The following is a 27,963-nucleotide window of genomic DNA, read 5'->3' on the forward strand; positions in this document are numbered from 1 at the left end:
AGTGGTGCAATCTCAGCTCACCACAACCTCCAATTCTTGGGTTCAAGGGATTCTCCTGCCTCAGCATCCTGAGTAGCTGGGATTACAGGTGTGCACCATCACATCTGGCTAATTCTTTTTGTATTTTTTAATAAGATGACTTACATGCACTGAAATGCTTGAGAAGCACAGTGTTAGTTATCGACCCCAGGGAAGGTTTCAGTTACCCCCATCATACTGAGCTTCTACTGGAGTTCCAACAACTAAGAGAAAGAGCCTCTGACACAAGTCAGCGGGCGAAGCTCTAGACTTCATTTCTAGCACTGTGCTGCCCAATATGGCAGCCATGGGCCATGTGTGGCTATTAAGGTCAAAGGTATAGTAATGGAGATGAAGTACAGTGACACATTTCAGTGCTTCGGTCACACAAGTCGCATTTCAAGTGCTCAGTAGTCACACGTGGTTTGTGGCTGGTATATTGGGCAGCACTGATTACTGAACAATTCCCTTATCACAGAAAATTCTATTGAGCAGTGTTGGTTTAGTGTCTGACAGTGTAGTCATGTGCAGAGAATGACCCAACCCCAGCTTTCCCTGAATGGCGGCTTCTCTCTTTGGTGGCAGGGGCATGGGGGTGTAGGTGGTGGATGGGCAAGTGACAGATGTGTGGAAACTCAAAAGTGTGTGATTTGGGTGGGGAAGGGCACTGCAGCCCCAGAAAACAGCTGCATGAGTGAGAACATCTGGTGAAAATCAAGGCTTGAGTTAGTTCATGTGAGACGCACTGGAAGGATGTTAGAGATCACTTAGCTCAAATCTCCCCGTCCCCTTCCTATCACCCATTTAATAAACCAAGACCTAGAAGTCTAAAGAAAAGTGCAGTGGCTAGACTTGAAGTTGGGTTTTGCACTTCAAGACCAGTGTTTGATGTATTCTGCTTGTGGGACAGTGAGACAAACTCTTTGCCTGCAAAGAAGATTTCATGAGGCGAGTAAGAGGTGCTCGAGAAGACATCACATGAGAGAGGGCCATTCAGGAACCCAAGAATTTGCCTATAGACTTGGGGGAAGATGGCCAGAGAAATCTGGGGGAGGCACTGGGAAAGAACATTTCATGGTGGGGGCAGAAGGGGTGGGCAGCAGGGGGAAGGAGGACCTAGGCTGGGAAGGGCCCAGCTCCATCCCTGACCATTCGTCTATTATATGACACCTGCATGGGGCAGAAGCCAGGGAATGTTTCACAGATATGCCTGGTCTCTTCCGCTTTGGTCTGCATTTCTGTGCCTCCCTACCCTCCCCCAGTTAGGTGGGTCCAGGAGACTGAACTCTGACCCATGGAATCTGGGCAGAAGGGTTGCTGCAATTTCCAGGGCTGGGCCCTAAAAGGCTCTCTCTGCCTTCTCTGGTAGCCCACCCAGATGCAGTTGATGCAGTGGAGGACTCTCCAGCCCTAGAAGACTACCGAGATACTAGAAAGGAGGTGCCTTGTCCCCAAAAGACTGGGAGGAGTGGAACATCCCAGCTAGCTCACTTTAGGCTATTACTGCAAGAAATTAAACCTGTATAGTGTTAAACCATAGTACATTTGGGAGATGTTTGTTATAGCAGCTGGTCTACCCTGGCTAATACACTGCATGAAGGGTGCGCTCTAAAATTTCCATCTCTTCACCATGTCCCATAGCATTTGCAAGATGTTTGTAGGTCACTGAAGAGGCCATTCTTTTCTCTTCCCTCCCTCTGTTTCTCTGTTCTCACTTCTTCCTGTCTAGGAGTTCTGTAGTCATCTCTAATTGGCCCTTCAGGTTCCCCAATCCAGAAGCAGTTCCTATGAAGGCAGCCCCAGGTTATTGCCATATTCATGGAGTTATCAGGGTTATGGCAGGTCCTAGGACAGAGGAAGTCCCTGCCCATCACTTCCTCCAGGAAGCCTTCCCTGCATGTTTGGGTTAGGAACCATCCTGTGCATTCCCATAGAATATAGTCAATGATGCCCACATTCTTTGTGGCCTGCTGTACCGTAACATATACGCTCAGTACACAATTGTGGTTTACTTATCTCTCTTGTCACTCCACTGTGGGATCCTAGAGAACTCCATCACTTCTACTGTGAAGCAGCAAGAGCTAGACATGTAGATACCCACTGTGGAAGGCAGCTTCTGATATGGCCTCCAAAGAAGCACCCTCCTGAGATTCATGTCCTTGTGTCATCCTCTCTCCTCCAGTGTGAGCCAGACCCACTGAGTTGCTTCTAATGAACTGAATACAGCAAAAGTGCTAGGAGATTAGGCTTTAAAAGACTGGGTTATAGTCCTTTTTCAGGTACTCTGTCTCTCATTCTCCTTCTTGCCTGATCAAGATACACTCTTTGATGAAGTAAGTTGCCATGTTGGAGAGGCCCGTGTGGCAAGGAATTGAGGGTGGCTTCTGACCACCAGCCAGTAAGGAAATAAAAGTCCTGAGTCCAACAACCCATAAGGAATGGAATCCAGCCAACAACCACAGAACGAGGTTGGAAGTGGATTGGCTCCAGTTGAGCCTTCAGATGAGATCTCAGCCTCAGTTCACACCTTGATTCCAGCGTTGTGAGAAACCCTGGCCAGAGGACCCAGTTAAGCCATGTCTGGGTTACTGACCCCAAAAAACTGTGAGATAACAACTGTGGGTTGTTATAAGCTAATATGTTACAGGGTAATTTTTTATGCAGCAATAGAAAACTAATAAACCAATGAAGAATATTTTAATGAAGGAAGGAAAATTGGTCCTCACAAGCAGTAGGGTAATTGGGGTTGGGTTGGTGGCAATGCAGGACGTGGAAGAGAACAATGACATGAAGGTGAAACTTGGGTGGGGACAGGGAGTGACCAGATGACCACCACGGCCCTCTCAGATGGGGCTGCCCAGTGATGGCCCTGGGGACAGCTCCTGAAGATCTCTGGGGCCTCGGGTGGGTGACAGCTCTCCTAAGTCTCTGCTCCTGATGCTGACAAGCCCTCACACTCCACATTCTGTCCACGCAGCTATAAATATTAAAACGTGCCAGAGGAGAGATTGCAAAATAGGCCTGTGGGCAAGATACAGCTCTGAATTGGGGAGAGGAAATGAGAATGAATTTCTCTCTTCCAGTTCCCACTTTGGTCTGTTTATTGCAGAAGGCGCTGTGGGAGATAAGGAGCAGACAGCTCGTGCCCTGCAGGCTGTGCAGGAGGCAGTTCCATTGAGGGTCGCATGGAGGGGTAGAGTTGGGTGTCACCTAGTTCACGAGGCCGCGTGAGGAGTCGGAGCTCCCCACACCATCTCAGATGCTGCTACTGAGTAGAGCTCTGGGGTTCAAGCCCTGCTGGTCCCACACCAGGGCAAAAACAAAATATAAAGTAAAACAAAATAAAGTAAAATAAAAGCAAACAGACAAAGTACTCCTGTGTGGGTAGGTGTGGGGTGGTTTTGGGGCTCCCCAGCCCAGAGTCTGAGCACTACAGCTGGCAGGCAAAGTCCCCCTGGTCCCTCTCTGCTCCTCTGTCTCATACCTCGAGTCTTCCTGTCCATCCATTCTTCTCCAGAAACTTCTTTCTCATCCGCTGGCTTCTTTTCCATTCCTGCCACCAGCACTCTCATCTGCTCACTGTTCATGACCTCCCCAACCAATGACTTTTCTTCTTTCCCTCTACACCTCTTTAATTCACCCTACCAGCAGATTCACTTTAGTATACTGCTTTGGATATATCACTTCCCTGTTTAAAATCTTCTATTTGTCCCAAACCAGGGAAGGACCTATCTGGAACTGTTGGTCTCACCTGCAAACCCTCAGGTAACCCTTCTTTTTTTTTTTTTTTTTTTTTTTTTGAGACAGAGTCTCTTGCTGCCGCCCAGGCTGGAGTGCAGTGGCACAATCTTGGCTCACTGCAAGCTTCGCCTCCCGGGTTCACGCCATTCTGCTGCCTCAGCCTCCCCAGTTGCTGGGACTACAGGCGCCTGCCACCATGCCTGACTAATTTTTTGTATTCTTAGTAGAGACTGGGTTTCACCATGTTAGTCAGGATGGTCTCGATCTCCTGACCTCATGATCCACCCGCCTCGGCCTCCCAAAGTGCTGGGATTACAGGCGTGAGCCATTGCGCCCAGCATCAACTTTCTAGTTGAGGTAGAAAGGCCTCTTTGTACCATGACCTCCAAGCCTCACCCCTGAGCACCCACTCCTTGCACCAGTTTCCCTGTCTCCCCTCTGCCCAAATGCACCCTGAGTTATTGTCTTTTTTTTTTTTCTCCTCTCCCAGCCTGGCAGTTCCCAACCAGCTCTTCCTCACGTGTCTTCCTGTACAAGTTATATCCTCCTTCTTCAAAACTCAGGTCCAATCTTACCTCTCAGCAAATCCATCCCCGACAATTGAAGCCCTAAGTGCTTTCTCTGTCCTCTGAACTCTTATATAATTTTAGCCTGTGCAATTCGTTCGTTAATTAATCATCCACTGTGCTGCCTTGAGACATCATTTTTTTTTCTCCTGTAGCCTTGTGCTGATAGTTAACTCTTTGAGGGTGATTTAAAATTTGCTTGTTTATGTCTTGGCTTCGTGCCCCCTTGTGATATCCTTGGGCATGGATGCCACGGCTTTATACTCCTTGCAGCAACTTCCCAAGGATCCCAGCACTGAGTGAGGCCGGTCCTGGGACTGCAGAGTGTTTTTGCTGGTTTTTATTCTCTCCTTCCATGGGTCCTGGGACACTATTCTCTCTGTTTCCCCATTTATTCATTCATTGGTGTCTCCTTTTAAGGGGGCATCTTTCATGCTTGTCCTTGAATGGTATTTCCTTGGGGTTGGTCCTGATCTCCCTGCCTTTCTCACACTCCACTTTCACCCTGAATCATCTCAGCCAAGTTCCTTCTTCCCACTGCTGCTTGCACGCTGGTGGCAATCAGTGTCTCCACCCATCACTGCTTCCTTAAACTGCAGGTCTCTATTGGATCTGTCAAGCTGCACATTCCACAGGAACCTCCAAACCAAGGGACCCAAACAGAACCTGCTGTTTGCAGTTGCCATTGCAAAGTACCACAAACTGGGAGACTTAAAACAAGGGATTTATTCTTTCACAGTTCTAGAGGCTGGAAATCCAAAATCGAGATGTTGCAGGGCAGTGCTCCCTCTGAAGGCTCCGCAAGAGGATCCCTCCTTGCTCCTGGGGCTCCAGGCAATCCTTGGCATTCCTTGGCTTGTGGCTGCATCGCCTCCGCCTCTGCCTCTGTCTTCACAAGGACTTCTTCCCTGTGTGTCATTCTGTGTTTTCACACGGCCTTTTAAGGACATCAGCCTTTGAGACCCTAGATTTGGGGTCTACCATAATCCAGTATAACCTCATCTTAATTAATTAGAGCTGGAAGACCTATTTCCAAATGAAGAGGTTCCAGGTGGTCATGCATTTTAGAGGGTCGCCACTCATCCTGGTACACCCTTAGCTCACCCCCTAACAAGCTTTCTTTTGGTAAATTACATCCCCCCTCCTTCCCCCAGCCCAGTCACCCAGAGCCAAGAAGCGTGGGGCTTATGCAGATTCTCCTTTCTCCATTTCTCATCCTCTACTCCAGTCATTCTTGACACTCCTTAGTCACACCCTCCTATCCCTCATCTCCCCTCTGACTTGCGGGGGTGGCCCCTACCTGCACAGCATAGGTCAGTGTCGGCCAATCTTCTTTTCATTATTCCCTGTCAAGAAGTCTTTTCCTAATCACCTGCCCCTATGAAATTGCAATGCCACAGATAGACTGTGTGTCTGTTTCTATGCTGTGTGTATTTTTATGCCTTTAAACATAAAGGTAAGATTTCTGGCACGCCCCAAGAACCAATTTTGCCACTTTGGGGGTGATGTCACCCCCTTATGGAATGCATGGTCTGTGACAACAGCCTCCAGGTGATCTCCCTCCCTCCCTCTGCTCTGTTCCCACCCCTCCCCTCACCCATGCATCTTTCCTACTTTTATAAAACACAAAAAGAAGCTTGCTCCACCTGAACAGCGTTGCCCCTGAGAGAATGTCCAGACCTCTTGGGACAGCATCCTTCTGCATCCAGCGCAGCCAATGGCCCTTCCACCTGCTGCTCCAGCCACACAGGGAGCAGCTGCATTCAGGCCTCTGTGCCTGGTCCTGGGACACCATCTGCCTGCACGGCCCCCACCTCTTGCTTGCATATTCAGTTTGAATTACATTTCAAGATGCAGGTTTAGGGTCACTATGAGGAGAAAGTGCTCTCCTACCACCCCCAGGAGACTGGATGCCCATCCATCCCCACTCGCCACACACTCAAAGGTTAAGTGGAACTTCTTCAAAACCATGTCTCCTCAGGTAGAGCAGGTGCCTGGAGGGGTGGGTGCAACAGGCAGAGGAAGGAGAAGACAGAGCTATTCACGTGGAGTTGGTACCCACAGAACCTGGCCAGCCTCCCACAGCGGAACTGGTAGCACTGCCATCTCTCTGCCTGGCTCAAATGTCTGGAAATCACGGACTGTTTCTCACCCATCTCTGTATCTCCAGAGCCTAGCCCAGTCAGTCAGAGCCCAGTGAGTGTTTTCCTGGATGAATGAATGAATGAATGATTAATGGGCTTCTCTGGACCGTGTTTCAGCTGCCCAGCCACTTCGCATGAACTCCACTGTTGCTCCCTGTTGCCAGGCACCTCCAAAGGCTGCCTGGTTTCTACCGGCTCATCTCCTCTGCTGACCACCTTTTCCTCCTTCGGGAGGGGTCACTACACAGGCACCTGATCCAGGAGGCTGGCTTCTCTCTATGTTGAACTCTGCTCCTGTGGCCCTGGCCCTCCTTCTCTTCCTATTCCCTCACTCTTCACCTTCAAGCTGAGTCCCGTGATGCCCTCCTGCCCTGCCCCCCCTTACTCACCACTTTTACCCCCGGGCCATGTGCGTGCCATTTTCAGGTGAACAGCTCTGCCCACCACCTCCTCACCCTGTAGCATCCCCCCTCCAGGCACCCTCTCCACCTGTAAGGATGTGGTCTTTAACAAGTGCCTCTTGGCCGGGCACAGTGGCTCATGCCTGTAATCCCAGCACTTTGGGAGGCTGAGGCGGGGGGATTACCTGAGGTCAGGAGTTCGAGACCAGCCTGGCCAATATGGTGAAACCCTATCTCTACTAAAAACACAAAAATTACCTGGCTGTGATGGAGCTTACCTGTAATCCCAGCTACTCAGGAGGCTGAGACAGGATAATCACTTGAACCCAGGAGGCACAGTTTGCAGTGAGCCGAGATCAGCCTGCAGCCAAGATCTCTTTTGTGATGGAGCAATACTCCATCACAAAAAGAAAGAAAGAAAGAAAGAAAAAAGTGCCTCTTAACCTTTGACTCTCTCTCTGTGTGTGTGTGTGTGTGTGTGTGTGTGTGTGTGTGTGGCAGGTGGGGACAGGCAGGAAAGAAGGGAGAGTTCACAAGACCCTGGGGCTGGTCCTGGGTCTCAGTGGGGCCTTGAGGAAGAAGAAGGTGAGTTGGCTCCACTCACCTCCGATGCAGGGAGGTGGCAGGGAGTGAGGCGGACACTCACCACCCATGTCAGACTTCACAATGTACAGTCAGGCCCCCTGCTTCAGGCTTGGGTTCCTGGACAGACCATAGACTTAGCCTATATTGACACCCTGGGGAGAGGGCAGAAGCCCTGAGACCTATGGGTAAATATCGGGTGATGTGGTTTGAATCGGTGTCCCCACCCAAATCTCAGGTGGAGATGTAATCCCCAGTGCTGGAGGTGGGGCCTTGTGGGAGGTGACTGAATGATGGGGGTGGATTCTCATGAATGGATTAACACCAACCCCCTGGGTGCTGTTCTTGAGACAGTGAGTGAGTTCTAGTGACATCTGGTTGTTTAAAAGTGTGTGGCACTTCCCTGTTCTCTCTCTGGGTCCTGCACCTGCCGTGTAAGACGCCTGCTCCCACTTTGCCTTCCACCATGAGTAAAACTCCCTCAGGCCTCCCCAGAAGCAGATGCCGCCATGCTTCCTGTACAGCCTGCAGGACCATGAGCCAATTCAACCTCTTGTCTTTAGAAATTACCCAGGCTCAGGTATTTATTTATAGCAGTGCAAAAACAAATACATCAGAGCAGCAGCAAGGTGAAGGTAAGTGCCCTTTCGGGAGGCAGATGGGGTTGGTGGGGAGGAGGCTGGACGAGGGTGAATAGGAGAGAGGGGACCACCATGTTCAATTGGGACAGGAATGGAAGAACTGTTCATTACCTAATCACCACCTCCCTTCCAGGTGTGCAGACCCGCCCTCTGCATGAGGGCCTCACTTGTGGAACCAGGGCCTGGTCCACTTGGACAGATCTGCCAGCACCAGCGGTCACCGCCAGTGCTGCTCTAGTCCCTGGTGTGAGTTTCCTGCAACTGCGGTAACACAGTCTTACACACAAAGTGTGTAAAAAACAGAAGTGTATTCTGTCACAGTTCTAGAGGCCAAAGGTCCAAAATAAGTCTCAATGGGCGCAAATCAAGGTGTCAGCAGGGCTGTGCTTCCCTGGAGGCTCCAGGGAAGGGTCTGTGCCTCATGTACTCTGGCTTCTGGTGGTGGCCAGCATGCTTTGTCTTGGGGCTGCTCCATTCCAGCCTCTGCCTCTGCGGGCCCTGCTGCATTCTCCTCTCCTGTCTGGGGTCGATCATCTGCCTCTGCCTCCGTCTCGTGATTGCGGATCGGACCCACTCAGATAATCCGGGATAACCTCTCCATTTTTAGAACTTAAACTTAATCACATCTATAAAATCCTTTTCTTGCCATATAAGGTTAACATTCACATGTTCTAGGGATTAGAACATGGGTATCTTTAGGGGGCTGTTATTCTGCCTACCTCATCCCCTTTGGCCTCTGTGAATTACATGAGCGCCTGTCAATCACAGATCCAGGGATGGAGGTGGAGATGTGTCTGGCACCCCCTCTCTCCTGCACCTGTGCTCACTGATAATGGGTGCAGCTTAGCTCCTCCTTCCCCTCCTATCTTCTCCCTCATTTTGGGAGCCAGAGGACTATTTGGGTTTGGAAATGGTGCTCTGCATCACTGGAGGAAGCAAGTGTGAAACCTCAGTCCACCCCATCACTCAATCAGGAGAATTCCCATTGGACAGCTGGCTTGCATGTGGGTGAGTTGTAGTTTGCTAACATGTTGAGTCTCTGATCCCTGTCTCTTGGTTGGAGATGATGGGTGCATCATGTTAGGCAGTAGGATGTGGGGAATCAGGACCCAGGCCTATTGTCACATTCACTAGGGAGAGAACTGTGCTGGCCTCAGCTGGCTCCTGGATCTATCCAATCAAAGAGGAGAACTAGATCACTCTAAGCAACCCCCTCATAGCTCCAGCCTCGCTGATCCTGGTTGGTTATGATTCAGAGGAGGGGAAGGCAGACTCGCCGATGATCAGTCAGTGCCTCTCTGGAGACAATCAAGGGCAGCTACAGAGATGGCCAGTCCCCCAATCCATGCAGCCACTGAGATGGCCAGACCCCGACTCCATGCAGCTTCTGAGATGGCCAGCCCTTCCCTCCATGCAGCTTCTGAGATGGCCAGCCCCTCCCTCCATGCAGCTTCTGAGATGGCCAGCCCCTCCCTCCATGCAGCCAGTGACATGCCCAGCCCCTCTCTCCATGGAACTTCTGAGATGGCCAGCCCCTCCCTCTATGCAGCTACAGAGATGGCCAGCCCCTCCCTCCATGAAGCTTCTGAGATGGCCAGACCCTCCCTCCATGCAGCTTCTGAGATGGTCAGACCTTCACTGTATGCTCGGGACTAGGTATGGAAAGACAGATAGCAACAGAGAGACACAGTTTGAGGAGAGGAGGAGTATGGGGAAGAAAGAATAGCTGCAACATAAGGAGTACCAGGAGTGCATGATTTAGAGTCAAAAGAACTGGGAGCAGACCCCAACTTCCCCTGACTCTATGTGACCTTGGAGAACTCACTTAACTTCTCTGAGTCTCATTCAGCTCAACTGGCAACTGGGGAATACAATCCCTGCCTTATAGGGTGGCCGTAAAGATCAACAGGATAAGGTACGTGGATGAATTTTATAAATGCTCTCTACTTGCAAAGAATTTCTGCTATTCCAAACTCCATATCCTACCTGCCAAGGGTTGCATAAACTTACGTGACATTTAGAGGCTTCTTGAACTGGATGAGGGTTGGTGACTTTTGCTGCTCTACGCCCTGAGGAAATGGAGGAGGACTAGCTGGACAACGTAGGGAAACCCAAAATTCATTCATCTGTAATGAAGGGATCGGGGGGAAGCAGAGGCTCCTAACCTGACTTAGCTGCTGTTTGTTATTCTTGGGAGGAAAATCCCCAACCTGGTTCTGCTTGAAGCCGGGCTGTCTGGAGTGATGTCTTGACAGGATGATGGATGGTGGCTAGGCACAGTTTGTGACACTGAAGCACATACTCTGCATTCTTTATCTGGAGCTGCTGCCGGCGGAAGGCTGCAAATAAGCAATCCAGTTATAGGAATCCCTGATAAAATTCCATTATGGGCCCCAGAACCAATCATGCTGGATTCAATAGCGGGGAGGCTGGGAGGCGAGGCGCATGTTGGGAGCAAAGCACTGCCACTGGGGAAATTTTCCCTGAGCCCGCAGGCTCTCGCACTGGGAATTCCACAAAAGTCGGAGACTCAAACTGTCTCTGACATCCAACTGTCTTTGCTGTTTGAAATGCGACAAAACTTACACAGGGTGGTAGCTGAGGGCTGTGTTGCAGCCAGCAGGCAGAGACCTCAGGTTGGAGCTGATTTGGTTTTATTGAGATGCTGGTTTCCCCCTCTGACGTGTCCATAGGAAGCTGGTTCTGTTGTGTGGCTCACTTTTTTTGGCCTCTAGCTGATCCAGCTGAAGCCCAGTGGTAAATATAGCATCCCTCACCCCTTGGAGATTTAGGAAACCTTGCTTCAAACCTCAGTGTCATGCCTGAGGCCACTGGGGACCTTACTTGGGCAGACACAGATACAAGACACAGCCTTTCACCCTTTCCCCAGAACCATCCACTGGCCTGGAGAATTTTGTGAGTTTAGTGAGACTCGAGGGGTGCAGGGTGGGGGCAACCTCCCAGCCTTCCACAATCCCTGGGCAACCTCCCAGCCTTCTGCACTCCCTGGCTTCCCCACCCTCCTGACCCTGGCTCTGTCCTTCCTCCCCTTCCAGTGCAACCAACACACTCCTCCCTTGTCTTTTACAGAGCAGTTAATCCCCCATCGGGTTCTGAAGTCCTAGCTTTTTTCACCAGGGGCCTTACCATATCAAGGAGTTTTCAAAAGCAAGGCAGTTCTCTCACTCTAAGAGGAACCTTCTACCAGCTGCTGGGAGGGCGGGACAACATCTGTCCGCTGCACGCACTGACAACTAACGCTCAGAGGTGCTCACTGTGGGCCAGGCAGGCTGGGAGATGTTTGCCTGGGTTGGCTCATCAGTGAGGTGGGTGCTATGTTTATCACGTTTTACAGATGAGAAAACTAAGTCATAGGTAAGTTAAGTCCCTCGGCCAAGGTCATACAGTAAACCCAGGAAGCCCGGCACTGGTCTTATTGTCATCACCGTTATCCTGGACATAGATGGGCTAGAGAGAGAGAGCTCACTCGTTGACCTTGCATCCCCACCCGGTTATTAATGCTGAAAAGCCATTCCGGAGGAGACGTGTGACCCCGTTCTACTACAGCTCCACCCCAGCTCTTGTTAAGAACTTCCTTCCTGGTTACCCAACAGTGTGTTGCTCCCAAGAGCAATGGCTGGGCCAGGTCAGTGCTGGGTGACCTGAGTTTGCATCTTCAACTGCTTCTTCCTGTCTGCTGTGACCTGGCTGATCCCTCAAGGAGACTGTCTTCCTTAATAGAGGGAACTTGAGACATTAAGGACTCACTTCTGTGTCCCCCTCGTTTGGACTTGGATCATGCTGCAAGCATAGTTTTGACCTTCACTTCCTGGCCCAGGGAGCCTGCAACTGCATGGGGTTAGGGCAAGACCTACACAGATGCATTTCGAGAGCACACCTCAGGGCTCCCATGTTTGGGGCTTTGACCAAATTAGCCTTTCCTCTTAGATTTGGGAGACCACCTGTTCTTCCCAGCATTCAGTCATCCCGGGTTTCCTGACTTTGGGCTCACTTCTGACTTGTGGTTTGTGCCGTCCTCTAAACCTTCCCTGAGGTCCTGGACTGCCGATCTGCCTGATATTGACATCTGGTAACCTCGGGGGCTCACCCTCCCGCTTGGGGACCTAACACACAGGCACAGCCTGGCAGTGCAGGGCAGGAAACGCAGCAGAAAGGGAGCTGGCCAGTCGGACAAACCTAGGTTCAAACTCCACGTCCTCCACCTGCCGGTCATGGTGTTAGAAAGTCACCAGACCCTTCTGGGCCTCTGTTTGCTCTTCTGAAAATGGAGCCACTGATGATGCCATCCTCATTCATGGCGGCGATGAGGGTTTGAAACACCAGAAGGCATGTGTAGCACTCCACAGCCGGGATGTGGCAGAGATGGACTCGGTTTCCCTTCTTCTGAGCGTTACCAAGTATCCCTGGCCTTTTCTCCCTTCCTCTTCCCTTCACCTTCAGCGGCTTGGCCTCAAGTCTCCCCGACAATCATTGTCACTTAAGCTGATGAAGGTCTTGCCCTCTCCCTGCTCCCCACTGAGCCCTGAGGACGGGAGAAGGTGGAAGGGGGTTGTTGACCACAACAGCCGGGTCCCCTCCTTCTCAGACCTCTGTCCCACTTGCTGCCTGAGACTTAGGGTGGCAGAACACAGCAGGCCTTGCCCAAGCAGGAGGAGAAGGAGAAACAGAAGCCACATGAGTTGTAAATTGAGGTCTGCCTGGATGAGGGGCTGCCCACTTTCTGCCCTGGTGACCATTAGCACCATCACTTGGGGGCTTAAAAAGGGGGTCTGTTTGTGCAGTTGTCCCCTGCCTCCTTTTTCTTTTTCTCTTCTTTTCTTTCTTTTTTTTTTTCTTTTTTCTTTTTAGAAGAAGTAACAGGGATTATAGGTGCCCGCCACCCTGCCTGGCTAATTTTTTTTGTTGTTGTTGTTGCATTTTTAGTAGAGACAGGTTTTCACCATGTTGGACAGGCTGGTCTCGAACTCCTGACCTCAAGTGATCCTCCCACCTCAGCCTCCCAAACCTCTGCCTCTTACCTTCCCCGCCCTGCCCTTGTTATGCATCTCCTCTGCTGGGTGTTGCCATGGGCTGCACTGCAACCCCCTCAAATCCAGATGTGGACACCCAACCCCAGCACCTCAGAAAGCGACTGCATTTGGAGATGGGGGGGTCTTCAAAGAAGCGATCAAGGCCGGGCGCGGTGGCTCACGCCTGTAATCCCAGCACTTTGGGAGGCCGAGGTGGGCAGATCACAAGGTCAAGAGATGGAGACCATATTGGCTAACACGGTGAAACCCCGTCCGTCTCTACTAAAAATACAAAAATTAGCTGGGCGTGGCCGTGCATGCCTCCCAGTTATTCGGGAGGCTGAGGCAGGAGAATCGCTTGAACCTGGGAGGCAGAGGTTGCAGTGAGCCGGGATCACACCACCGCGCTCCAGCCTGGCGACAGAGCAAGACTCCGTCTCAAAAAAAAAAAAAAAATGATCAAGCTAAAATGATGGTGGATCCTCATCCAGTATGACTGGTGTCCTTCTAAGAAGGAGAGATTTGGACACAGACAAACACAAAGGGAAGACCATGTGAAGACACACAGAGAAGACAGCCACCTCCAAGCCAAGGAGAAGAGAGGCTCAGAAGAAACCAACCCTGCCGACACCTTGATCTCGGACTTCCAGCTTCCAGAACTGCGAGAGAACAAATTTCTGTTGTTTAAGCCTCCCAGCCTGCGGCACTTTGTCATGACGGCCCTAGCAGACGGATTCATGCGCCAAGCCGCATATCCCACTGAGGTGACCAGGCAGGCTTCTGAAGCTTGGGTGGAAGCCCAAGGAATATGGGAGAAGAGCAAGGAACACGGAAGAAAGCAGAGAGGGGCCCCCAGGCAGAGCAGAGACCTGTTTCCACGGAGCAGGACCCCAGTCTGGCGTCTCCTTTGTTAGAATAAAAACCTGAAAGAGGGTTACGGAGGAATTTGGAATGTTGTGGGATGTACTTCGGTTGTGGCAGCAGAGCCCAGACCTGGCCCAGGCGGGGTCTGTTCTGCCATCCACAGGCACCTCTTCTCCTCTCTCTTAGACCCTCTGGAATGAAAAGGAAGAAAGAGCCTCTCACTCATGTTTCCCGCTGTGCCCACCTGCAGGTGAGCGGCCCTCCCTGCTGGTGTCTTTCCCATATCCCAGGCCCCTCCGGTTACAGCCCCCATGGGCCGCTCCTGCTCCTGCTCCGCGGCCCCACCTCCGCCTCCTCCCGCCCTTGGCTGCCCCTCCCAGGCTCGGCCTCCCCGCGCCGGTTCACGCTCACATTTGGGCTCCCCGGCTTGCTGCTGGTGCCGTTTCATTTCCCATCTGCTCACCTCCGGCTCATGAGTAATGAGAGTTTACAAGTTGAGTTTCCATATGTGGAGCATTTATATGTTCTTCTTCAACAAGGAGGGGCGAGTTCCTCCGGCTTCATGGTCTCTGGGACCCAGAGGTTTCCTAGCCTGTTGTCAAAGGTACCCCCTTCCCCACCTCCTCCCTCACACAGCCCTGTCCCTTCGGATCGGCAGACCCAGTTGTGAGCATTAGATATTACTTGTTGGGAGGCCTGGATACGATTTTACATTCTCTGTTTTTCATTTTTAAAAAACACTTGTTCAGCAACATTCACACTGTTTTGTTCTCAGATGGACTAGGAAAAAATCAAATGCTTCCTTGCGTTCTCTCTCAAATATAAAATTTAGCGTAAATTGTTTCTGCTTCCTCTCCCTTCTCCCACGCTCTCCTTCCTCCCCCTCCTCCTCCTCTTCTTTCTCTTCCTCTTTCTTTCCCTCCTCCCCTTCCTCCCGCTCCTCTTCCTCCTCCTTCTCTTCTTTGCTTTCTCCTTCCCCTCCCCCTCTTCCTTCCCTCCCCCCTTTCTCTCTTCGTCCTTTTCCTCCTCCCGCACTCCTTGATTCAAATACTTTTCTGAAGGTCAAAGGCCCTATATGAAAAAAGATTCCCTGGCTCAGCAGGACACACATGATACATTTCCATTGGGGAAGGCCTTGCCCCTCCCACTGCAGCGACAGCTGTCATCTGAACTTTTATACCTTGGAACAGATGGGGCTCAGGGAGCAGGTGTCTGGGGGCCAGTGGAGATTGAGGCTGACAGTCACCCACCTGTGGCTCCTGGGGTGCTCTTACCTGTCCCCCAGCCCCTGTGGAAGGCAGTATCTGGGAGTTGGAACCTCTCCTTCTCTGCATTTCTCATGGCCCCTACTCAAGTTCTAGCCTCTGGGGCCCACAGTCCTCAAGGGCCCTTGTCTAATGCTTTGGCCATCGTTCCCTCTTCCTGCCTTTCACTCTGAGATAGGCCTCACTGCCTGGTGCTCCCCTCCACCTGGGTTTGGTTCTGATGGCTCTCCACTGAGGCAAAACCACCTCCTTCCCCCAAATTATCCCCCGAGGACAAGCAAATCAGCTGTCCTTCCGGTTCTCCATGGCCTCATTCAGCCTCTCCATTTTCTCTTGATGGAAAGTGGAGAGGAGTCAGCCAAGGAGGACAGCAGAGGATGGCCAGCCCTGCTCCGGGCCCAGCCAGTGCTGGGGGATGGAGGCCTGGGCTTCGGACATGGCTCAGTAAGGACAGATGGGGAACTGCAGCAGGATTAGCCCAGATCTGCCCAGATCTTCCCAGACGACTTGCACACTCCCCTATCCCAGGGAAGGAAAGCGCACACCATCTCATTCTCCTCGTTCTCACGTCCTGCTGTCCTGCTGTCACCAGCTCTGCACAGCACAGGTGCTTAAGCAGGGGATTTAATCAGCCTCTTGGCTAATAGTCCCCAAGTAGTAATTGAAGTGGGCTGATTGGACCCGTCTATTAGGCCCAGGGAGCTGTGGGGAGATGGCTTTTGGAGCGTTTCCTCCGCCTGCTAATCTATCTGTCTGGCATTTTATCTGGAGCCCAGAGCTCATGCTTGAGCACTGAGGCATTTTACAGTATTATTATTACTTAGCACTTATAACATACTTCATCAATGAGAGGGTCGGCGGCCGCGCCATCACTCTAAAGCACGGCGCTCCAGATAGAGAGATACGGATCTCACTCCGGGTGTGTAATATTTGATGTCTGTGTCTTTGGGTTGCTTGTGATCTTGTTATTAGTTATGTTTCCTCAAGGAGAAAACCTACCTTCATTCTCCTGATGCATGGGGGTCAGGTGGACGGGAGGCACAGGGATGGGTGCAGGAAGGATGCACAGGGGAGGGCTTAGCTTGGGTTCCCCCAGAAGCAGACCCAAGACAAGGGGTTGCATGCATTTATTTCTTTGGGAGGTGATCTTGGGAAGTACTAGTAGGGGAGTGGGGAAGGAGATGGGGACAGGAAGAAGTGAATACAGGATGCTGTGCTATTGAGCAGGTTACTGCCATGGGCAGTGGGGCCAAATTCCACTGGGGAACTTAGGCACCTGGAGGTTTCATCCTCTGAGTCCATCTGACATTGGCCGAGGCTGCTTCCAAGGACATTCACTCCCCAGCCCCTTGAGCTCAGCCCCTACCTGGGCTGAGAGAAGCCCTCAGGTGAGTCCTAGATGTCTGTGCCATGTGCTGACTGCTGGGTGCCCAGGAGGTGTGGGTGGGGCCCTGGCAGTGACAGCCGTGGCTTTGAAGCTGGACACAGGTGTTCTGATAAGGGAACGAGCCCAGGAGAAAAGTCCTTCTCCCTCATCTCAAACCCTGCCCGCTCTGTGTGTCCCTTGCATCTTAGGGCCCAAGGCTGTGCCACAAAGTCCAGGACAGTTTGCAGAGGTCTGGGGACTGTCTCCAGCTCCTCCACCTTCCCTAACTGAAGTGGAACGTTCAAAGAGAGGCACAGTGTGTGGCTTGGGTTCAAATGCCGCCTCTGGCCCCTTCTGGCTTTGTGACCTTGGGCAAGTGACTTCATCTCTCTGGCCCTTAGTTTTCTCATCTGTGAAATGGGAGTAGCAATGATACCTAGCAGGAAGGTCTTCGAAGGTTAAATGAGAGAGTGTCTATAAAGTGCCTGGTCCCGTGTCCAGCCATAGAACAGGAGTCCAGGACACATTCCTTCCTCTTCCCTTTCATGCAGGGCTCCAGCCCCCAACCAGGACCCTGACCAGAACACCTGAGTCCAGTTTCCAGGTCTTTGGTTTTTTTTTTTTTTTTTTTTTTTTGAGATGGAGTCTCGCTCTGTCACCCAGCCTGGAGTGCAATGGCACAATTTCAGCTCACTGCAACTTCCACTTCCCAGGTTCAAGTGATTCTTCTGCCTCAGCCTCCCGAGTAGCTGAGATTACAGGTGCATGCCGCCACGCCCGGCTAATTTGTGTATTTTTAGTAGAGATGGGGTTTCACCATATTGGCCAGGCTGGTCTCAAACTCCTGACCTCGTGATCCGCCCACCTTGGCCCCACACCTGTTGAGATTACAGGCGTGAGCCACCGTGCCCGGCCCTCCAAGTCTTTGAGTTACAGAGATTTCCTCAGAGGCTCACATTCCCAGGGAGCTGGACTCTTGTTTCCAGGACACTGCATCTTTCCCATGCCCAGGGCAGGGGGCACCCTGCTGACCACTCCAGCAGCCCTGCCTGATGCCTGGGCTTGCAGATATCCCCATGCTCATCAGGCCAAGGCAGATCTGCATGGCATCCCCTGAGGGGCCAATTTATACAGCAGCTTAAGTATCTTTTAAAACTTCTTCCCCTCCCCGGAGATGGGGGAGGCGGCTGCTGCTGCTGCTCAGGCCCCAGGCTCTTCTTCAAAGGGTCTCCCCGTAGGCAGATGGAAAACTTGCTAGGAAAAGATTTTCCTATTTTTTTCATATATATTTTTTCTTGGTTGCAATTCTTGTTCCTGCCTGATTCTCTACCTTCCACAGAGCCAGCAGGTAACTGATGGGGATCAGAGCTCTCAAGGCCCCTGGGGGCACCTCCTGCAGGAAGACTTCCCCAATTATCCCACAAGCATTGCTTGTTTCTGCTCCCCGTGGTTTTCTGGCTTCCTTGTGGCCATGTGCTTCACGTGTGGAGCTCCTCTTTGTGGACCGATGAGTGTGTGCGTAGTGGGAACTTGGTGTCTGTCTATCCAGGGGGATGACAGTGTCTTGAAGGATAGGACTTGGGTCTCATCCTTTCTCTGGGCTGGGGAAGCTGCTGCCGACTGGCTGGGGGTGAGACCGTCTCTGAGCCCACCTGAGGGTGTCTGCCTGCCCAGGTAGGCTCTGGTAAGAGCCAGTGACTCTGCTACATAGGGGATCCGTCAGAGCTGAAAGGTCTAGAAGCCCTTCATCATATTAAAGACCAATTCTGTGCAGATTAAGAGGACACAGCATCTGTTCTCTTGGGTTTGGGGAAGCCATCCATCCTCCTGGAGCAGCTCTGGGCAGGCGGAGGAGCTCTGGGCAGGAAAGGGAAAAACTCAGGTGGCGAGATGGTGAAGAGCAGCCTTCTCCCGTGCCCCTGAAGAGAGGTCCCAGGTGCCCCGAGTGTCCAGGCTCTCATGTGGCTCTGGTTCCCCCCAAGGTGCCCAGCACTCTGCCTCCTGCATGGGGTCATGCTTTCAGCCAGAGCCCCCAGAATGCTCAGGGGCCCTTGCTGTTTCTTAAGATCAACTCATCTGACTCCTTCCGAGGCTGAGAGCTCAGCTCTGTTGGGGCGTTGCCTGCCGTCCTGCCTTCCTCCTTTTTCTGCCTGGCTGCGTGGCGGTCCAGGACTATCTGGGGATCGGCTGCATGGTGGGAAAGGGCCACTTCTTCCTGGTAGGGCTGGCCAGGAACAAAGGCAAGGGGACTGGGGAGGGGACCGGGCTGTGCTCTATTTATACTGTATCTTGGGGTAGGGCACATTGGCAGCCCAGCGCTCTGGATGCCTCCCAGAAGCCTGAGTGGCGGTGGCGGGGGCATCTGTTCACTGAAGGAAGGGCAGAGAGAAAAGAATGGGCACTTATTGATTTTCTTCGATATGCCAGGCACCAGGCCAGGCCCCTTTGATGCATGATCTCATCATGTAAATATAGGATGGTGGTCAGGAGATCAGCTTCCAAAATTGACAGAACTGGGTTAGAATTCCAGCTCCCCCAGTTTCTGGCTGGGTAGCACTGGGCAAGTGGGTTCACCCGCCTAAGCCTGACTTTGTTCCTCTGTAAAGTGTTTATAATCAAAGCGCCTTCCTCCAAGAGGTCCTTTCTCTAAAGCACACAGCAGCATGCTGACCCAACAGGACGTACCCCGTGAACATTAACGCCTTCTGTTATGAACGACCATGTGATGCAGAAAAAATCATGCCCTGATTTTTGGTAGACGCAGCGGCCAAAGCCTAAGATGTGAAGAAACTCACCTGAGGCCACTAAATTGGAAAGTGGCCGCGCGGAGATGCAGGTGAGGCCCATGCCTTCCAGGCTCCAAAGCCCAGGCCCTTCTCAGACGTCCTCCAGCTTCCACAGGGAAAGAGATAAATGATCCCAGGGCTAGCGAGGGGCCCGGCTGCTCAGCCACACTGGAAGGGCAGAGAGACCCGGCTGCCAAGCTCCCGGCAGTTGCATAGCTGGGCAGGGACTTTTCCTTGGAGCTGGAGAAGCTGCTCCAAGATGGGCCCCAGACGTGGAAGATGGCTCTGCCGGGACAGCTGTAAACTCTTTAACCTTGTGTGGGGCTTCGTCCTTCAGCAGCCCGGTGAGGGATCAGTGGCAGGTGTGATGGCGGGGGAGGTGGAGGTGGCGGCGGAGGCGGCCCTGCACTCACTCACTCACGGCAGAACAGACTCTGGATAAACAATTATAGTCTATTTACCTCAGACCATATGGTGTTGGGGAACAGGTGTGCGGGTAATGAAGAGCCCAGCTCCAATTAAGCGTCGGGGAACCCGGCCGGATTCCCACTGAATCTTGCGCTTGGGTTGAGGCCCACTTACAAATGAGAGCTAAAAGGACTGAGGCTCGGGGAGGCAGGAGCGGGAGCCTGAGGGGTGCGTGGCAGGGCCAGCCAGCGGCCCCCACCCGCTGCTCTGTACCTGCTGGCAAGCTGGTGCAGCCCAGGGACCTCATCTGGGCCTTCTCCATGGCAACTTGGTGCATCTGGGAGTTATGAAGGTGAATGGGTCATGGCCATGCACCTCTTGGTGAGGCCGTCCTGGGACCTGTCAGAGGGGAAGTCAGGGGGTGATTCCTGTTAAGATCGGTGGGATGGGGCAGGCACCTGTCACCCTCTGTCAGGGTCCTTCCCACCCTGACTCCCCCTTGGCCTTCATTCCCAACGATTCAACACGTAGTTTTGAGTACTTATGGTGTACTGAGCTAGGCACTGGGGATATGCTGATTAAAAAGAAGTAGACAAAGGCCTTGCTCTCATTGAGTTTATGTTTTAGGGGGATGGGAAGACAAACAATGAGTCACATTCATAGATAAAGTCATCACATGCATGAAGAAGGTGAGTCGCATACATGGATAAGGTCATCACATGCATGAAGAAGGTGAGTCACATACATGGATAAGGTCGTCACATGCATGAAGGCGAGTCACATGTGAATAAGGTCATCACATGCATGAAGAAGGCGAGTCACATGTGAATAAGGTCATCACATACATGAAGGTGAGTCATATACATGTATAAGGTAATCACATGCATGAAGAAGGCAAATCACATACGTGAATAAGGTCATCACATGCATGAAGAAGGTGAATCACATACATGGATAGGGTCATCACATGCATGAAGAAGGTGAATCACCTACATGAATAAGGTCATCACATGCATGAAGGTGAGTCACATACATGGATAAGGTCATCACGTGCATGAAAGTGAGTCACATACAATAAGATCATCACATGCATGAGGAAGGTGAGTCATATACATGAATAAAGTCATTCACATGCATGAAGGAGGTCATTTCTAAGCTTGGTAAGTGTGAAGAAAGCAAATCATTTCATCTGCCTGATGGACTCTTAGCCATCTCTGCAGGCCCCGTTCAAGGGGCCCCCTCTTCTGACACCTCACGAATGCCTGGAGGGGTGGGTCACCAGCTGCCCCGGGCTCCTGGTCACTCTCCTGCACACCCCATTGCCCCATTGCAGCCCTCGGAGGTTCTGTAAACAGCTGCTTCTGTGCCCTCTCCTTCCAGGGCACTGCCCTTGTCCAAGTCAGGGAGGGCGTCTGGCTCGAGTGCTATTTCCAGCATAGCACAGGGTCAGGCCGGCAGATGAGAGGGTTTGGTGAGTGATACAGCAGCCTCAGCCTCCTGGGAGACTGGTCTGGCCTGCTGGGAAGACATTGTCCACTCTGGCCTGGCCTGGCCTGAGCAGGTATGTGAGCGACAACTGCAGAGAGTGCCAGCCTCTGGAAGAGCCCCAGGGGCCTCATCCGACCACGGCGCCCACAAGGTGCCCCTCATAAGTGTTCTGGAGGCTGCGAGCACAGCCAAAAAGATGAACAGCTCCTGTCCCTGCGGTGGGCTGATGAGAGTGGAACGAGGGCACATGTTCCAATGAATCTCTCGTGTCAGTTTTCACTGCAGCACAAACAGAGGGAGGTGGGGAGTGCATCGTTTCTTCTAGGAAGCCCCGGTTTCCACTGCTGATGAGGAGAGAGAGACAGAAATGGGGATTTTTCACACTCCTTTGCCTGGTGAATATTTTTGTTTTCGTTTAATTTTGGATTAGTGCATTGCTTTAGGACTGGACAGATGAAATCAGCATCTTCCCAAACTTCTCTGCTGGAAGACTGTCTGGAATATCTCCCCTTGGCCCTCTGGGGGATGCTGCCCACTCCACAGGGCTCCCTGAAGCTCTGTCTGATTATAAAGGTAATACCTTCCAACAGAAATACACAGCTGGGTTATAGGAAATGGATAACAGATGATTCCTAGGAAAATCAAGGTTTCAGATGAAAAACCTGCACAATTTCTGGGGGTGCAAGGTTTCCAGAGCCAGGATTCTGGAAGGCTCCAGCCTCCAGCCCTCCCTCCCTAACCCAGAGGGAGGGCAAGAAGCAAACTAAATGGGTTCTGAAGTGGGAAACAAATTGGATTTTTAAAAAATGCTCTGGTTCTAATGATCGAAGAGGTTATTCATAATCCTGGAGTAGAAAGCGTATCTTGAAATCTATGTTTTGTGTTGACAGCTTCTCCCTAATGGGCAAGATCTCACACATGATAGAGCCATAAAATGTGGCACTCCTGGCTGGCCCTGCTGCTTGTCTGATAAGGGAGATGGAGGGACTCGCCAGCACAGGCAGAGGGCCCTGGGTCTTACCCCGCCCCTGTGCCTCCTCCCGACTCCAGCTGGTCTCGGCTTCCAGCATGTTGGAAGGCCTGTTCTGCAGAACCCAAAGCCCGTGTTTTGCAATGATGAGGATTCCATGTTCAAGAAAGGCTGGGAAATCTCTCCCCTCCTAGGGATTCAAAACACCCATGAGCACAGTCATGGCTGTGAGGAGGCTTCCACTAAAGAAAACCTGGTAAGCTATGCTCGACCCGGTTGTTCTCAGACTCCTTTGACTGCAGAACCCTGTTTTCACACAAGCCCTATTGACGTCCTACAGAACAAATGCTTTCCAGAACCTACGATGCGTCATATAACAGTATCCTTTTCCTAGGGCTACTCTATCAAAACACCACAGACTGGGGGGCTTAAATAACAGAAATTCCTTCTCTCACAGTTTTGGAGGTTGGGAGTCTGAGATCAAGGTGTAGGCAGGGTTGGCGACTTGGCTGTCTTCTCCCTGTGTCCTCCCATGGTCCTCCCTCTGCACATGTCTCTGTCCACATATCCTCTTCTTATAAGGACACCAGTCATGCTGGATTAGGGCCCACCTCAGTGGCCTCGGTTTACCTTGATTATCTTTTTAAAGACCCTATTGCCAAAAATGGTAACATTTGGAGGTGCTGGGAGTTAGTATGTCAACATATGAATTTGGAGGGGACCCATTTCCGCTCATAACAGTAGCAGTGGGCCTTGGCACTATGAAACTTGGTATTGGGGGGACCATGAGGAGAGCAGAAAGGTAGGTAAGTGGGCAGGGCATGGCTGCTGCCTGACCCTCTGCATGCTTCCCATTGCAACAGTAATGACATTAACACTAACTGCATTTTCACACCTGGAATCCCAGCATTTTGGGAGGCTGAGGCAGGTGGATCACTTGAAGCCAGGAGTTTGAGACCAGCCTAACCAACATGGTGAAACCCCGTCTCTACTAAAAATATAAAAATTAGCTGGGCATGGTCGTGGGCACCTGTAATACCAGCTACTTGGGAGGCTGAGGCAGGAGAATCACCTGAACCCAGGAGGCAGAGGTTGCAGTGAGCCGAGATCACATCACTGCACTCCAGCCTGGGCAACAGAGCGAGACTCTGTCTCAAAAGAAAAAAATATATATAAAACCAGGAAGTGCATTTGCCAGATATTTATGCATTACAAGTACTTTTCCATCCATCAATTAATGTGATCCTTTTAACAACCTGTAAGGTTGGAGGTTCTACAGTTATTTCCACTTAACAGAGAAGGATGCCTGCACTCAGAAAGGTTGAGTCACTGGTTTGAAGTCACCCAGTAAATAGTGAAGTCAAGGACTAAACCCAGGTGGACTTAAAGAACCAGTCCCGAGGATTAATGGAGGATTGATTCCCTGCCCTCCCTAAGATGGAACCCGCAGTTGCTGGCAGCAGAAGCAAGAGTCATCTCAGAAGGGCTCTGAGGGCCCCTGCCAGGCAGAGCCCGAGTTCCCACAGGTGGCATTTACCCTGACGAATCTGGGCCCAGGCTGAGGCCCACCTCACTTCTCGCCAGCCTGGATGGAGAGCTGTTCCCCTGAGCTTCCCAAGTGTTTTCAGATGAGTGGATCCTGCTGGCTGCTCTAGGCACCTGCCCATTTGTGCTGAAAGCCAACCAGCTGTGAAAGGTTGCAGATTTCTGAGCTGTCCCAGGGGTCGGGTGTGGCGGAACGGGGACACAGACCGAGACCACCCCAGCTTTCCTGGACTCATCTCAGAAACAGAGGCAGGCCCAGCAGTGAGCATTCTTCAAGAATGAGCAACCCAGGTCCAGGCTGACTGCGAGCGGGACCAGAGAATTTGCTACTTGGAAGGCAGGAGAGGGTGGCGACTGGGTTAGCAGCTCCAGGAAACCAGCTGACTCACTTTGACCATGTCCATCCTGGCCTGGCCACCTGCTATTTGCTTCCTTGGTGCCTCTTGAAAAAGTTTGATGACCAGGTAAAACCCTTGCCTGCCACGCCCGGAGGCTGGCTCTTCATGAATTCTTCCTCTTGGTCAGAAGATGCAACTCTCTAGGTGACCAGGCCTGTGCCCGCAGGCCTTGTGCCTCCCCTGGACTCACTGGGCACTCCTGCTGCACATCTAGTCAAAGATGCTTGGCAAAGGAAGGGCAGATCACTGGGAGGGACGGACCCGGAGACCAGTCCTGACCCCAGATTCTGAGCTGTGGAGCCCGGGGCAGCGGATTTGTTGCCTTCACCTCAGGTTCATCTTGGTACAATGGGGCTCATGAATAAATGTCAAGGTCATTGTGAAGGTCCCATTAAAGGAGAGGTAAAAAGCTCTTTGCAAAACTTCAAAACAGCTATGTAAATGAGGGTTGTTAAAAGAGCCCAGGAGGCAGAGGGGGAGGAAGGCTGGGGGACCAGCCGTAAACTACTAACTGGTGCAGTGCCAGCGGCTACCTAGATGAGGCTGGGTGGGCACCGCACCAGGCAGGACTCACCCTCAACCTCCAGAGGGGCTTAGAAGAGGAGGTCCATGAAAGAATCCGAGTCTCCGGTGGTTGTGTGCCCAGAAATACCTGGAACCACCGCAGAACCTGTACACTGGCCAATCCCAGGGGGCACTATCCCTGGATACTCTCCCATGCATGGTGAATAAGGTGCAGTGGCTGAGACCCTCAGGGAAAGGAACCCTCCACCATGTGCCATTTCCTCTTCCCAGGACTCTCTCTGACTCTGCCCCAGGCAGGGATGGGACCGACCCCTGGGAACCTGGTGTGGCAGCGGTGGGGATCACCCAGCAGAGGTTCAGGGAGTCACCCCTCACTCTCGCAGGAAGCTCACTCGTGTCAGTGGGTGGTTCAGTTCTGGAACATTTCTCTAGAGAGGGGGGCCCGGAAGTCCCCCAGCTGGCTTCTTTAGGGCAGGCTGGGGCTAGGGAGAGGACAGCGAGGCCCAGGGTGTGGATGTAAGCAGGCACTCACACTCATGGGCCTGCCTGCATGAGACTGACAGAGAGCGGTGCCTTAGATTCCAGGGACTTCTCTTGCCTCACCCACATGCCAGCCCTGCTTTTGGGAACCTCCCTTTTCAAGTTCTCTACTAAATGACACCACCCACTGCCCATCATAACTCATCCTATCCTACAAGGTTAAAATCGTTCAAGTCCTTGGCTGGGCACCGTGGCTCACGCCTGTAATCCCAGCACTTTGCGAGGCTGAGGTGGGTGGATCATGAGGTCAGGAGATTGAAACCATCCTGGCTAACATGGTGAAACCCAGTCTGTACTAAAAATACAGAAAATTAGCTGGCCGTGTGGCGGGCGCCTGTAGTCCCAGCTACTTGGGAGGCTGAGGCAGGAGAATCACTTGAACCCGGGAGGCAGAGGTTGCAGTGAGTCAAGATCGCGCCACTGCACTCCAGCCTGGGAAACAGAGCAAGGCTCTATCTCAAAAAAAAAAAAAAAAAAAAATCATTCAAGTCCTTTGTCTGAGAGGAGACGGACATTCTGTCCAGGGCCAGGGGTGTCAGTCAGACTGATGGTAGATCACACAGAAGATGTACTGAAAGATTCTGGGATTTGTCTTTGCGTGGAGAAGAGGCGATGGGTTGAGAGCGTGCCTTTAAATATTTGAATGGACCTCCTATGGGTCGATTAGTGGCCCCCAAAAGATTTGTGCACGTCCTGCTTGCCAGAGCCTGTGAACGTGATCTTATTTGGAAAAGGAATCTTAGCAGATGTAACTAAGTTAAGGATTTCAAAATGAGATTCTGGATTCAGGGGGGACCCCAAATCCAGCGGCAGGTGTCATGACAGAGAAAGGCAGAGGGAGATTTGGGAGGGAGGAGGAGAAAACCACAGATGAGAGAGGCAGTGATTAGAGCTTGGCAGCCCCAAACCAAGGGACGCCTGGGAATAGGCAAGGCACGATCCTCCCCGGGAGGCTTCGGAGAGAACGCGTCCCGCCGACACCTTGCTGTCGGACGTCCAGCCTCCACAGCTGTGACAGAATCAGTTTCTGTTGTTGCAAGCCCCTCAGTTTGTAACAATTAGTTACTTGGCAGCAACGGGAATGAACAGCTGTGTCCTATGAAAGAGGAGGTGGGCTAGTTCCATCTGCAGCCAGAGACTTAGCAAGGAAGGGTGAGAGTTCCAGGGGGGCATCTTGCAGACCAATGTAAGGAAGAATTTCCAAGAACGAGGCCTGCCCAGCATCGATGTGGCTGCCTTGGGCCATTCTGCCTCCTACAGCATCGGACTGACCACCTCTTGGGAACATAGCAGGTAGGACTGCTGTTCAGGAGGAAGGGTGGGTTAGGTCCTCCCTCCTTAGTGGAGACCTGCTGACAGGGTCCCCTGTGCGTGTGCATCATGACAGTAATTCCCCTTCAAGAAAGCATGTTGGAATGCACATATAAGAGTGATGTCTTGATAGGAATAACTTTGAGTCAGCTCTAATTTCCTTTTTCAAAAATGGCATTATTTGCAAATGTTGGTACTGTAACTATTAATAATAATTTACTTGCAGGTAGCTCGCATTTCCCCGGGACACATTGCTGAAGCTTGTCACGGTGGTGAGAGAGACCTGTGGTCTCCTAGGAGGCGTGGAGCAGCCTTCCCACACTCTCTGCACATACACATCCTCGGGGGATCTGGTCCAGGGGCAGATTCTGACACCCCAGGCCTCAGCTGAGGCTCCAGACGCTGTGTCTCTCACAAGCCCTCGGAGGACAGTGATGCTGCAGGTCCACAGGCCACAGGGATCCAGAGTGGCTGCTGGTGAGTTTCCAGAAGACCCGGAACTATTATTTAGAGGGGGCAGGGGAAGGTATTTCACCTTGCTACAACTTAGGCTGGGCCAGAGCTTTCCTTTCCGGGAATGCTGTTGAACAAAAAAGTGGGACCTGGGGTGGCTGAGATGGGCGTCCTGGAGAAGTGTGGGCTGGGAGACCTAGAAGCCACCTTTCGGTAGAATAATCTAGGATCTCAAAACTTCCTGGGCTCCTGTCCTGTTTGGGGTTAAGGGACTTGATGAGACAATGCTGAAGGAACCCTACAGCTGACTTTGTGGAGCTTGTCTCCCATGCCAAGCTCTTGCCTTAGCTATCCGCTTTAGTGCTCACAGCAATTCTATGATTCAAGAATTGCTTTACTACCCCATTTTGCAGAGGAGAAGACAGAGCATAAAGAGGTTAAACCATGCCTATGGTCACCCCTATCGGTGAAGCTGAGATTTGAAGTGGCGTTTGGACCCCAGAGCTGAGCTGATTATCACCATGACATTCAACCTTCCAGAATCCTGCAGACCCTCAATAGGGTGCCCTGCCCTCCTGTCCATGCCTGGGCCTTCCAGGACTAGCAGAGTGGTGTAGGACATTCAGGGATGGGCCAGGGCATCCTTGTACGTGGCCCCTCCCTAGGTCACCCCCAATCCCTGCTCTGGTTGGCTCCACACTTTTACATGAAGCCCCGCTGCTCCCAGATGGGGGATTAGACCAGGGGCTCCTGTTCAGCTTTTCATGCAGGAAGACTACTGAGCAGGGGCTGGCTGTGGAAGAGGGGAAAGTTGCCACCCTTGTCTAAAATTGCCGCTGCGGGATGGAGAGGAAGATTCCTGCATACCCAAGGAGAGGTTGAGGCTCCAGGGAGAAGGAGGGAGCAGCGCTGCCTGAGCAC

The 27,963-nt window shown here is 52.0% G+C and overlaps 2 long non-coding RNA genes across 2 annotated transcripts in view, besides 1 other annotated feature; one reads left to right on the top strand and one right to left on the bottom strand.

The window, feature by feature from the left end:
* Positions 6,961-7,473: an enhancer, noted in NCBI's record as "NANOG hESC enhancer chr17:71731954-71732466 (GRCh37/hg19 assembly coordinates)". NCBI's record gives its function as "activates a minimal SCP1, AML or CMV promoter by ChIP-STARR-seq in primed H9 embryonic stem cells {active_cell/tissue: H9 hESC(primed)}" and the evidence as "EXISTENCE:reporter gene assay evidence [ECO:0000049][PMID:30033119]".
* On the top strand, positions 9,000-27,703 carry LOC100134391 (uncharacterized). The gene is made up of 6 exons (NR_164140.1): positions 9,000-9,101; positions 14,174-14,237; positions 21,731-21,873; positions 22,191-22,526; positions 26,820-27,066; positions 27,456-27,703. It is a non-coding gene; the product is annotated as an uncharacterized LOC100134391 (long non-coding RNA).
* Positions 20,416-27,963, bottom strand: part of LINC00469 (long intergenic non-protein coding RNA 469) — a 79,268-nt gene continuing 71,720 nt past the window's right edge. Inside the window, exon 4 of the long non-coding RNA NR_027146.1 lies at positions 20,416-21,644. This is a non-coding gene — a long non-coding RNA (long intergenic non-protein coding RNA 469). The remainder of the gene's footprint in view (positions 21,645-27,963) is intronic.

The sequence above is a fragment of the Homo sapiens genome, chromosome 17, assembly GCF_000001405.40.
Source record: "Homo sapiens chromosome 17, GRCh38.p14 Primary Assembly".
NCBI classification, from domain to species: domain Eukaryota; kingdom Metazoa; phylum Chordata; class Mammalia; order Primates; family Hominidae; genus Homo; species Homo sapiens.